This window comes from Homo sapiens, chromosome 18 (assembly GCF_000001405.40).
Source record: "Homo sapiens chromosome 18, GRCh38.p14 Primary Assembly".
Classification (NCBI taxonomy): domain Eukaryota; kingdom Metazoa; phylum Chordata; class Mammalia; order Primates; family Hominidae; genus Homo; species Homo sapiens.
The window spans coordinates 5,724,025-5,736,241 of NC_000018.10; the positions used below are offsets into that span (position 1 = coordinate 5,724,025).

The following is a 12,217-nucleotide window of genomic DNA, read 5'->3' on the forward strand; positions in this document are numbered from 1 at the left end:
TAGGCTGCCCAGGCTGTTTTACGCATCGCCTGATCTATCGTGAGTTGGGGTACAGTTATGACGAGCAGGATGAAATTAGCACAGCTCTGTTCTCCAATTACTGCTGACCAAAATGAATTCTGGTCTGCGATAACTAGGCTGTAACTTTTAAGATACTTCAGAGAACGATGAAAATGCACATCCATATACTTCAGGCATCTGGAGGATGTGATGTGAGGGAGTGCCGGGAAACTGACTTTCAAAAATCCATGCCCATTTTACTGGATTAAAATTGTTTAATCTAACTAGCTGTTGACCTTGGTTTGTGATATTGAAAATTCTGGGCCTTTCTCATACGCTTCTGTTTAATGTGACTCCTCTTGTATCTTACAATTTCCACGTTGTCCTTAGACTCCTTGATGTTGATGATTGCATGACATCTATCTTTGGGAATCTCGGGAACCTTTTTAAAGTATTAGTAAGAGCTATTGATCATCACAAAAGCCCCTGAGAGAAAAGGACCACTTCATCCAGGCTTGTTGTGAATTATTTACAGAAAATAACATTAAAAAAATGGACATCCATTTCTGTCACCATATCTAGTCTCCCCATGCCAAACAAAGCAAACAAAATTGTCAAAGCATTGGACTTTCTAACACAGAGGAGCCAACAAATGTGATGTCCTAGTCCAGACTGGAAGGGCTACTTGATGTAGAGGCGATTTGCAGCATGTCAGATGGAAATGAAAGGGGACGACATCGGGTCCAAGAGGAGACAAATGCTCAAAAATGTAAAGTGACTCGCCCCATGGCACACAACCAGTCATTCACGAGCCAGGAATAGAACCTCCCTTTGACCTCTCAGAGTTCTTTTCACTATACTGAGCTGCTTGCTGGCTTACTGGGGCTCGGCTTGTACTTCTCTCAGGGCACACACACTTTTAAAAGGCCCTTCTGAGACACAGTGATTTAACCTAAAAGAAAGATGCCAACTATGGGAATTTCAGACATGGCAAAATTGTACTGGGAGATATTTGGAGCCATCAGAACTTTCGGCACTCTTCCAAATCACTGCCCAGGGGTGATTATTTTCCTTGTGTTGCCTTCCCCTTGGAAAACCATTACTTGCTTTTCAGTTCCATTAGACTTGGAAAGATGCCATATATGTGGGCTTTCAGAGTCCTACAATGCACACTCAGTTTTCTTTGATTAATTGATAAGTTCTAATACTGTTTATGTTGCCTTTATTCTGTTTCAAGTGCAAATTTTTCCATCACTAAAAACATTCGTTTAAAGCAGTAGTGTGTTGGAGATGGCTCCTACCAGCTCACAAGAGCCGAATCGAATCTGTGCATCTCATCCCAACCCCAGTTTGGTGACTTTACACTGGTGTCTTGAAATCAGCCATTGGGAACATATTGACATCACAGAACTTGGCAAACAGTAAAAGTAGAGATTTTTTTCCCTCCAGAGAGCCTATTTATCAACACACCATTGGTTCCAAGTATGCATTTTTTTTTACTATAGTAGGAAATTTAATTCATTTGGTAAACTATTACTAATAGTGCTTAATGCATGGTAAGTACATACACAATAGATCTTTGTAAAGGAAGGATTGAATGAATGAGTGAATGAATGGGCCGCTTCCAGATATATACAATGCTCCATCTTAGTTTTCGAGACTGAACTGGGCATTGAAACTATGCTAATTTTGGATTCTCCATCCCTTTTCAGTTTTATCTTATGTTCGTATGGATCTCTTCAACACCAGTTCAGAGTGTGGGAGCTTTTCTACAGATCTCTTTCTAGTGTTCCTTTTTCAGGCAAGAGAAAAACATATCTACAAAAATGAAAAAATATAATTTTCATTGTCATAAAAGAGTAATTTTGACTTTTATGTTACGATATGAAGGAAAACATTTTTACACAGGTTATTTTTATTTTTAAAAGCAGAAGCAAATTTCAACTATAACAGCTAAACTATCTGACGTTGTCTCATTAATATTCTGCTTCTCTGATTACTAGCTCCAGAAATTATGAAGAGTTGCTTTTAAAGTTGATGTTCAAATTCAATATGATTGTGCTTTGCATCTTGTTCCAGTAAAGTCTCTTGTCAGTTTGCTTGTCAGGAGCCAAGAAAAGCAGCAATTTCTGCCTTGGAAAATCCTGTGAATATTTATGTAGTAGCTCTAAGCTGCAGGGAATTTAAGAAGCTTAGAAAAATTTTGCAAAGTTTTTAAAGCAGGGAGTCACTGTCATACCATGGATAGAAATCCATAAATGTCAAACTTGAAATTATGTCAGTAGTTACCATTATTCTGTTGGACTGGGACCCACACAACTATTTGAATGTTTATGAAGTAATGTGAGTTGGCAGTTTCTATTTACTCCAAGTATTCTATTCAAGATCATCTGCACTAGTTTGGGATGTCTGCTAACCTCCTCTTAATAAAGGTTCAGGCTTTTGGTCTTTGCTTTTCATAAAAACCTGTCAAAATCAGGCCCCCAAAATTACAGACCAGATATGATCACTCATGTAACTCAACCTCACAATTCTGTTCTTGGTTGAATCTTACAAAGAAAATATCGAGTGAAGAGAGCTAGAACCAAAGATTTATTTCTTATATTATTCCATTTATATAAAGTGAAAAAGCAGGCAAAACTAACCTATGGTGTTAGGCATCCAGATAGCGGTTGCCCTTTGAGGGGACAGTAGCAGGAAGTGACAGGGGACACTTTTTGAAGTTCTGAAAATGCTCTGTTTCTTAATCTGTGTTCTGGTTACACGACGGGTGTGTCACTTTGTAAAAATACACAAAACTGTTCACTTACAATTTGGGAAGTTTCTTGTATGTAACTTATATTTCAATAGAGAATTTACTTTTAAAAAATCGTGCTGCTCTCTGATTCTCTTTGAGATTCTAAAGTGTTTCAAAAATACCCAAGAGGATATTTCTTACATGAGGTTGATGACTAAAAGAGAAATGAAATCCCCACACAGAGAAAGACTTGGTCTTACCATACGAATTCCACCATTTCACTGGACAAAATGAAGAACTTTCATTTCAGGTGGCTCAGCCATTTGTTTCCAGGAACACTTTCACATTCCTTCTTGCAAGTGGCTGTTTATACATAAGAACAAAACCTTGCCTTGCAGTTATTTAAAATGTGAAGAAAGACTTTAAGGTTTCACATAGATAGCTCTGTGACAGCCTCAGAGAATCTGGTTCTGGTGTTTTTTTCATCCCATCCTAAAATCTGCTAGGGAACGCTGAGCTAATTAGAAGTGGCCAGCCAGCAGTTAGTCAATAAATAGCTTGGCTCAGCAGATAGGTAATGCAATGCCAGATCAATAGGAACTCTGAAAATTATTTCTTCATTTCCTTCTATGGCAAGTAAGTTATCCATGAAGGACAGAATGTCAGCCTTCAGTCAAAGAGGCATGGAGCTTTTCATTATTCTGACATGAGAAGTTGAGAGGGGGCAGAGGTAAATAGTTCCACATTCCTTATTGATGTGATGTCAGGTTTTCATTTTGAAATGCACTAGGCTCTAAGAAGCTTTTGCAAGAAAGACCCACTCTTCTCAACCAAAAGTGCTCTCTCATTTCCTGGAGATATCCATTAGAAATGGCAACCCCTCTGACACTTAGAATGACTTGCTGTGATCTCAGTGTTTAGATGATAGGTAGTTATCTGTCACAATCTTACAAAATGAAGGAAAAATTAAAAGAATATTGAAAGATCAGAGGAAATGTTTTGGAGGAAGAATGTTAAAAATTTTTCTTCAGGTGACCTTCTAATAATTCATATGGAATGCCACTTGGCTTCCAATTTTGTGGCTATATCAGAGTGAAAATGAAGGTCATTTTCAATACTGTGTGATCTAAAAGAAGCCTTAAAGTGCCAGCGTTCACCATGACCTGGTTGTAAGGTTATGGCTTTGAGCCTTAGGAAAGCAATGACTTAGATACTAAATGGGGACTAATATACTCCCTAAAACTGATAACCCCTCTAGCCAGTTAAGCAGTTCAGATGGTAATAGGATGGCTGCCTTGATTTTTGGGAAGTGAGGAAAATGTAGAGTAAAATTACAAGGTATCAGAGAGAGTTCTTTCATTTCTATGTACCTCAAACTGATAACTGAAGCCTATTTTTATTCCCACACACAATTTGAGAGCTCCTTTTCTGAATCTCAGATGTAGAAAGACATCCATACTTCAGGGGCAGTTTACGCTCTACTTATTTCCTTGGAAGCTCCTTCCTCCTGGCAGTTCAGTAACATTTCCCTAAGGGTGAGCAATCTGGAACCTGAGAGTGGGTTTCTCTTTCTTTTTAAGAAAAAGAAAAAGATTACAGAATTCCTTCATCTCTGAACACAAAATTAAATTCAGTTGCAATGTCATCAATTCACGGGAAATAATAGGACAGATCTGTCATTTCATCCAAATTTCCTGTGCATGCTTGTTTATTTTTTTCCGGCAGAATTTTTTGATCTCCTGTTCGCTCTATACAATCATAATGGAATATTGATTGGCCCACTAAGAATTAACTCTCAGCATTTCCCATTTGTTTGTTTTTCCAAATTACTTAAGACAGTGTTAAGGAATATTTTACCACGGGGAATGGTCTTTTGTGTTAACTGATGAGTTTTGAGATGCGTACAGTCATGTAAACAACAGACTCCACACTGTAAACAACAGACTCCACACTGTTATCAGAGAATTGAAGATCCCCTTCACAGCAAGCCTGCTGGGGTGAAGGCCAACTCTTCACACTTACCAGTTGGCTTTCATCTTCCACGGTTTTGATGGCTTTCTTCCTCCGACCTCCTTCTGTACCTCCTGCTTCTCCCAAGCTCAGCCACCATGGCGTTGCTTTACACAAGCTTTTTCTCTGCTCAGACCACTTTTTCTCCCACTACCCCAAGCTGGTTCTTTTTTCAGTCCAGTTCTTAGCTTAAGTACCACTTCCTTTTGAAGCCTTTCTTGACCTCCTTATGTGAAATTGGTGTCCATGCATCCTGCTACCTTGTTAAACTGTCTCTTAGCTTTTCGTTCTCAGTGCTGGTGATTCTATTCACCTTTTTATTTAATTGAGTTATTCAATTTCCCTAACTGGAGTTTGAGAGCCAGGAGGTTTCAGGCCATCCCTCTCTTGCTCAGCACCCCATCTTCTGGACCTGCCATGGTGCCTGCTGCGTGGTACACACTTGGTGAAAATTCACGGACTCATACTTTTCCTCTGCCATGTTAAGGCTGTACTTCCCATACAAACCAAAAACCTTCAGAAGCCAACACCAGAAACAGTTACAGGCTGGCTGACGATTGCTTGACAGACTTTAACTGCCCTTCAACTAACTGTATGAGTAAATTCAACTTTAATAATTTCTTCAGGGGACTATACTAAACCAAAAGTACAAAAACTTCCTTCAAATTTTATCTTTCATGTAGGACTAATTCCGCTATAAATATTTTTTTAAATATACGTTATGATTTGTTTATTTCAACTTTTATTTTAGATTCAGGGGGTACATGTGCAGCTTTGTTACCCAAGTGTATTGCATGATGTGCGGTGGTTTGGGGTATGACTGATCTTATCACCCAGGTACTGAGCACAGTACCCAATACCCTTCCCCCTCCACCTCCTCTTTCTAGTAGTGTCCAGTGTCTATTACTGCCATTGTTATAATACTGTATTTTTGATTAAAACTGGGTTTTAAATTCATAAAATAATAATTTCTGCTAAAGTAAAACTAATGAGTTTATATAATTTATGTCCCTCCTGTTACCACGGCTGGCCAGATGGGAGTAAGAAAATCATGTGTTTCTCCTACACAATTTCCACCTTTTTTCCATTATCTCCTCCCTTTTCCACTTCTCTTAGGTGCTCACACCTGTTTTGTTATTCTTCCTCTCTGGATATCAAAACTAGTCCTTTTTATAAAAACTAGATCTCTTATTCACTCCAAAGAATACATAACTTGTTTCAAAATCATTACCCCTCTAAGGATGTTTATCACATTAGAACAGAAGTGACATAATAGATTACATAGTCCAATCTCCTCAATTTCGTCCTCATTTGCATTTTAACATACGAATGCAGTGATATCACTCCCTTGTGCAACATCTTCCCCTTCCAGAATCCTCCGCCCAGCAGAGCAGAGTCTTGGGACCTGGCTCCCCGCCTGGCTTCATCCTCTGAGCCCATTTCAGGCTGAGCTCATACACGTCTCTGCTGACAACTCCCTTCCTCCTGCACATTTCCACCCTTGCTGCCTTCCTGGCTCACTCTTATGCTTCCATTGCTGTCTCCCTCCTGGGACAGTAGGCAGACTCTCACCTCCCTACCTGTATCCCCAGCCCAGCCTTGGGCCTGCCATGGGGTACCATCCAAATCAGCAATGTGAATGAAGGAGGCTAAAGTCAGGGAGCTCAGAGAGTGGAAGTTCAAGGATGAGCCAGCAGAAGAATGTTTATTTGGGGACTGAGGTGTTGTAACTCCCAAAACAGTGCCTCCCAAGCAGGCTTGAACTCTGCCTATGCTTCTGATCCATCCACCACTTGGAAATAGCTCTTTAAAAAAAAAACACACACATTTTTATTGTGTTTATTTATTTTGAAACAGGGTCTGTCTATGTTGCCCAGGCTGGCCTCGAACTCCTGGCCTCAAGCAATCCTCCCACCTCAGCCTCCTGAGCAGCAGGGACTACAGACATGAACCACTGTGCCTGGCTTGGACAGCTCTTTTTGGGGATAAGTGTTATACACACTTGCAGGGACTGGCTGAGGGTAGTCCATCAGTCAATCAATAAGTGTGTTTGTTGATGTTATCATTTGCCCTAAGCAATAATGTAGAGTCAGGCTAACTGCCCTTTTCCTCCAACCCCTCCTGACCCTCTAAGACTGACCCTGGAATGATCACCTCAGCCATGTGCACTTTCACACTGGGTGAATCAGCCCAGTGTAGCCTGGGAGGGCACTCTGTTTCCCTTCTGCGAGCAGAGCTGATAATAATGTATATTGCCTGTGTTGAATGTCTTCCCTGACTCAACTGCAGTACCTCCTTATAGTTTTCCTGTTGGATTTGAGCAAGTAGATGAACTGGAAGAACAAGAAAAAGACGAATATTTGCAATTGTACTATATAGTCCAAGGACGAGGCAGTAGCATGGTGTACTGGGAGGGCTTTGGAGCAGGGGGCTCCGGTTAAAGCTTTGCCTCCTGCTATGATCTTGGGCATGCAGGGCACCGCTCCATGGCCCGAAGAATGGAGCCTGCCTAACTCACAGAGTTTTTCTAAGAAACAGAGGAGACCATGCAGGATGTGTGGACCTGCCTGGCCCATAGCCATGCTCTGTCTTTAGCCATTCTCATTCCTGAAAGGAGACACCTAGAAGCCATGAATTTCTAGACTGGATGAAAGTTCCCAGATGCCAGAGAACATTTAGCACTGGGCCACATTTATTTTCTCTAAGTCTTCCTTTTTTTTTTTTTTTTTTTTTTTTTGAGACAGTCTCACTCTGTCACCCAGGCTGGAGTGCAGTGGCCCATCTCAGCTCACTGCAAGCTCCGCCTCCTGGGTTCACGCCATTCTTCTGCCTCAGCCTCCCAAGTAGCTGGGACTACAAGCGCCCGCCAGTACGCCTGGCTAATTTTTTGTATTTTTAGTAAAGACAGGGTTTCACTGTGTTAGCCAGGATGGTCTCCATCTCCTCACCTCGTAATCTGCCCGCCTCGGCCTCCCAAAATGCTGGGATTACAGGCGTGAGCCACTGCGCCTGGCCTTTTTTTTTTTTTTTTTTTAACTGAGATAGCAATAGATTCACACAACTTTAGCCGCTACTTATAAAACTTCAACATCCTCCTGGAAAAGCTGTACACAACTGCATCTGCACCTCTCTACTAGGAGTTTATAGTATATAGAGAGATCATTTCTAGGTGCCAGGAGGCTAGCGCAGGTCTAGCCTCAGTCTTAATGAGTCAGGGTTCAAACTGTAAGTTCCTTGGGGCAAGAATGTGGCCTTTTTGTCTGGTTATTGTTATTATTCAGATCAGCCTCATCCATTGTAAAGCAGCATGGACATTTACTATAGTTTATGAATAATGAACGTGACTGTAACTTTGCCAGAACCAGCAACCAGATGAGTCCAGCCTGGTTAGAGCTCCAACCATGAGCGCATGTGTCTCCCAGTGTGTGTGAGCATGCGTGTTAATGGTGTTAATGTGTGTGACAGCATTATGTGAGGGTGTGAGCATTTATGTGTGTAGGGGAAGGCATGCGTGGTGTGAATGTGTATGAGCATGTGAATGTGCCAAAGGGTGGGTGTGAAAACATGTGTGTGAGCGTGTATGAGCTTGTGTGTGAGAGCATGTTTGCACGTGGGAGAGGGCATGTGTTTGTGAGCCATATATGAGTGTGTATGTGAGCATGTGTGGTTGAGCCTGTATGTGTGAGCGTATGTGTTTGGGACAGAGGGCATGTGTGTGTGAGAGTGTGTGAACATGTGGTGGGAGGATATGTGTGTGTGTGAGCATGTGTGTGAGTGTATGAGTAAGCTTGTGTATGTGAATGTGTGGGTATGTGTGAGAGCATGTGTGTGAATTGTGTGAACATGTGTGCATGTGTGTATGTGTGTGCGTAGCCCTTGCCAACAGCTCTAGGGGCAGAATGCGTATTTACAGCTGTGAGCGGTTCATCTCGTCTCCTCCAGGCTCCCCCAGAGCAGGCCACCAGGTTGCTTAACCATCTAGGCTGTCTTTGTAGAACGTGCAGTCCACATCAGCACTGTTTCTCTGTGGTTCTATCTTTTCAGGTAGGGGAGTTTTGCCCCAATGATGCCCATGCTCACTCCCCCACCCAGCTCCTCCCCAGAGGATTCAGCAAACTAGTAGCTGTAAGTCCATGAGGTAACACTTCTGAGGCAGCCCTCACCAGCCCTTCTTCCTCCATGGCCTCTGCTGGCATAAAAGAAATGAGGAAATGCATGAACATCAAGTTTGTGGAAACTTACTAAAACTTACTCTGTGCCAGGCAGTGTGGCCACCCTATACCTCTATTATCACATTTAATTCCATAAGGGCACTATGGGAAAAGAATTGTTGTTTTTCCCCCTTAAAGAGAAGGAAATTAAGGTTCAGAGAGGCAGAGAGCTTCCCAAGGTTACAAGACAAGCTGGAGCTGGGCCAGGATCCAGCCATGTTTGACCCAGACCCCTGTTTTTGGCCTCTCCTTGTTGGTTTGGATTGAAGAGCAGGGGCGGAACAGGAAGGAAGTTGAAACTCACAGAGCGTCCAACTATCTCCCTTCACTGAAGGACATGAGAGCCCACAGTCACATGTTCTGACTTGTAAGATTCAGCTTTCAGAGACATGACTTCTGCAAAGATGCACATCTCTGAGGGCAGAGCTAGGAGAAAGATGCAAGTGTCCCAACCCCAGCCCAGAGCTTATGACAGTTAAAATCCCGTGTGCTCACTCTGATTCTGTAGACTGGCTGATGAAGACCCGCAGAAGGTCTTCAGAAGGTACCATCTTGAGGCTACAGCTTTCGTTTTCTCTGCTGGTCATTGGCACAGCATGACTCTGTGTCATGGTTCAACACCTCTCCCAGTGAGTGAAGAATAGGCCTTAGAATAACAAGTAACACATCAACCGGAATGCCTTGCTTTGATGTTATAAATCTGAGCAGAAAGCTCCCTACTACATTGCAAATTCCATTTTACTTAATATTTGCTTTCTTGTCTTGCACTTGCAGATGTTGTTTTCTTTCCAAAAAAAACTCTAGTCTTGTATGTGCATTGTGGGAGTACAGAACAGATTAAATTTGTGGAAAAAGTAATAGTGATAATGGTAGCAATAGTAGTAAAAGGAGTTGTTTTTGTTTTTGATTTTTAGCTTATCAAGGAGGCAGAATGACAAGGAGGATAAGCTGCTGATCACCCTGGCTGAGAAGAGTTCCATGGCAGAGGCAGCAGCCTAGTTCCCCTCTATGTCTTATTATAGCTTCAAGCTCTTGAAACTTCAGGAGAAAAAAAAATATGTAAGAATCTCCATCCTAATGGATAAGACTTCTTTCTTCACTTTGGTTTCCAATGGACCCTACTTGACTGCTATAACAATGGCTTTTAAGTCAAGTCTGAAGGAAGCAACTGATCCTTCAGAAAGATGATGGCACTGGTGTGGAGAAAAGGGAAAGATTATATACTGAAGGTGGAGATGTAAATGATACAGCCTGTATGGAAAACAGGATGGAGGTTTCTCGAAGAACTAAAAATAAAACTACACTTCAATCCAGCAATCCCACTACTGGCTATTTAACCAAAGGGAAAAACAGTTATATAAAAAAGATGCCTGCACTTGTGTGTTTATCACTGCATAATTTACAATAACAAAGATATGGAATCCACCCAAGTGTAAGTGTCCATCAGCACGTGATTAGATAAAATGAACGTGGTACGTATACACCATGGAATACTACTCAGCCATCAAAAAAAGTGAAATCATATCTTTTGCAGCAACATGGATGGAACTGGTAGCCATTGTCTTAAAGGAAACAACTCAGAAACAGAAAGCCAAATATCACATGATCTTACTTATAAGTGGAAGGTCAGTAATGTGTACACATGGAAATGGAGGGAGGAATAGTGAGCTGGAGACTCAGAAGGGTGGAGGTGAGGGGTGATGAATTACTTAATAGGTACAACGTACATTACTTGTGATAGTTACACTAAAAGCACAGACTTCAGCACTATGCAATATATCCATGTTACATAACAGCATTTGTACCCTTTAAATTTATGCAAATAAAACTAACAAAATAGACTTCTCTTTTCTACCAGTGTCCCCCAACTTTAGAGCAGGTAAATTCACTGGGCACCAGATACTAGGGAATGTGTTTATTCTTTATGTCATACCTGTGTGTATTTATGTTCTATATTATAAACATACATTCAGTTACACTATCATATTTTAAAAACCAAAGTGGAAATCTATTAATGATGATTCTTTTTTCCCCTGGATCTCTACCTACCTTCACTCCCAGCTCCTCTGAGTTCTTCCAGAGGGGCTGTGGGCAGCCTTCAACAGAATCAACTTCAGGCTGAGGTTTCTACGACCAAGAATCAATTATAACCACTTGTCAAGTTCCTATTGTGTGCCATGCAATGGCTAGGAACTTTGTGCATGACACATTTGATATTCATTTAAATAATACATATATAGACTTGTTCCTTGTCTTCTGTAATTTCTCCTCAAATGAAATAATCCTTTTCAAACACTTTAGCTGTTTCTTCTGGCATTTCCCCCATTTTTCTAAATATTCTCCTTATACTGTGATTTGTTGACTTTTCAGCTTTATTCATTCTCTTTCATTTAGTTATTTTTTTACAGTGGGTAATAAGGGTTTAGCTCTTCCTCCTCCACTCCTTCCACTCCATTCACTCCTCCCTTCACCTATATTTTCCTGGTATAGTAGTTATATCACCATTTCTAGTTAACAGAATAAGCAATGTTTATATTATTCATATGCATATAGTATCATCTATACCTGAGCCACATAGCATATAACCATTTTACTTCTTTCTTTTGAAATGTTTTCCCCCTCTGGAGTTAATACTAACATGACTTGGTTTATTTTTCTATAGATTTATCACTAATTCATTTCTAATACAACAGTAAGTCTGCACCCAATACATTACAGTGCAGAAGACAATATTATCAGTTTCCCTTTTTAAAAAACATTAGAAGACATTCCTACCCATTATAGGAGGAAGCCCAACATCCTCCTATAATCCAGATTGGCCATTCCTACCCTGATGCACAGCTACCAGCTTGAGACATCTTTTACCACCATCCTTCATCTTTCCTTCTGTATTAGAACCACTACGGTTGACCCTTGAACAACATGGGTTTGAACTGCATGAGTCCACTTACACATGAATTTTCTTCCACTCCTGCCACGCTTGAGGCAGGAAGACCAGCCCCTTCTCTTCCTACTCCTCAGCTACCCAACATGAAGATGACAAAGATGAAGACTTTATGATCATTCACTTCCACTTAATGAATAGTCAGTATATTTTCTCCTCTTTATGATGTTCTTAACAACATTTGTTTTCTCTAGCTTACTTTATTGTAAGCATAAAGCATATAGTACATATAACATTCAAAATATGTGTTAATCTACTGTTTATATTATTGGCAAAGCTTCCAGTTAATAGTAAGCTATTAGTAGTTAGGTTTTG

The 12,217-nt window shown here is 40.9% G+C and overlaps 1 annotated feature.

Annotated features, from left to right (window-relative positions):
- Positions 9,360-9,892: an enhancer, noted in NCBI's record as "NANOG hESC enhancer chr18:5733383-5733915 (GRCh37/hg19 assembly coordinates)". NCBI's record gives its function as "activates a minimal SCP1, AML or CMV promoter by ChIP-STARR-seq in naive H9 embryonic stem cells {active_cell/tissue: H9 hESC(naive)}" and the evidence as "EXISTENCE:reporter gene assay evidence [ECO:0000049][PMID:30033119]".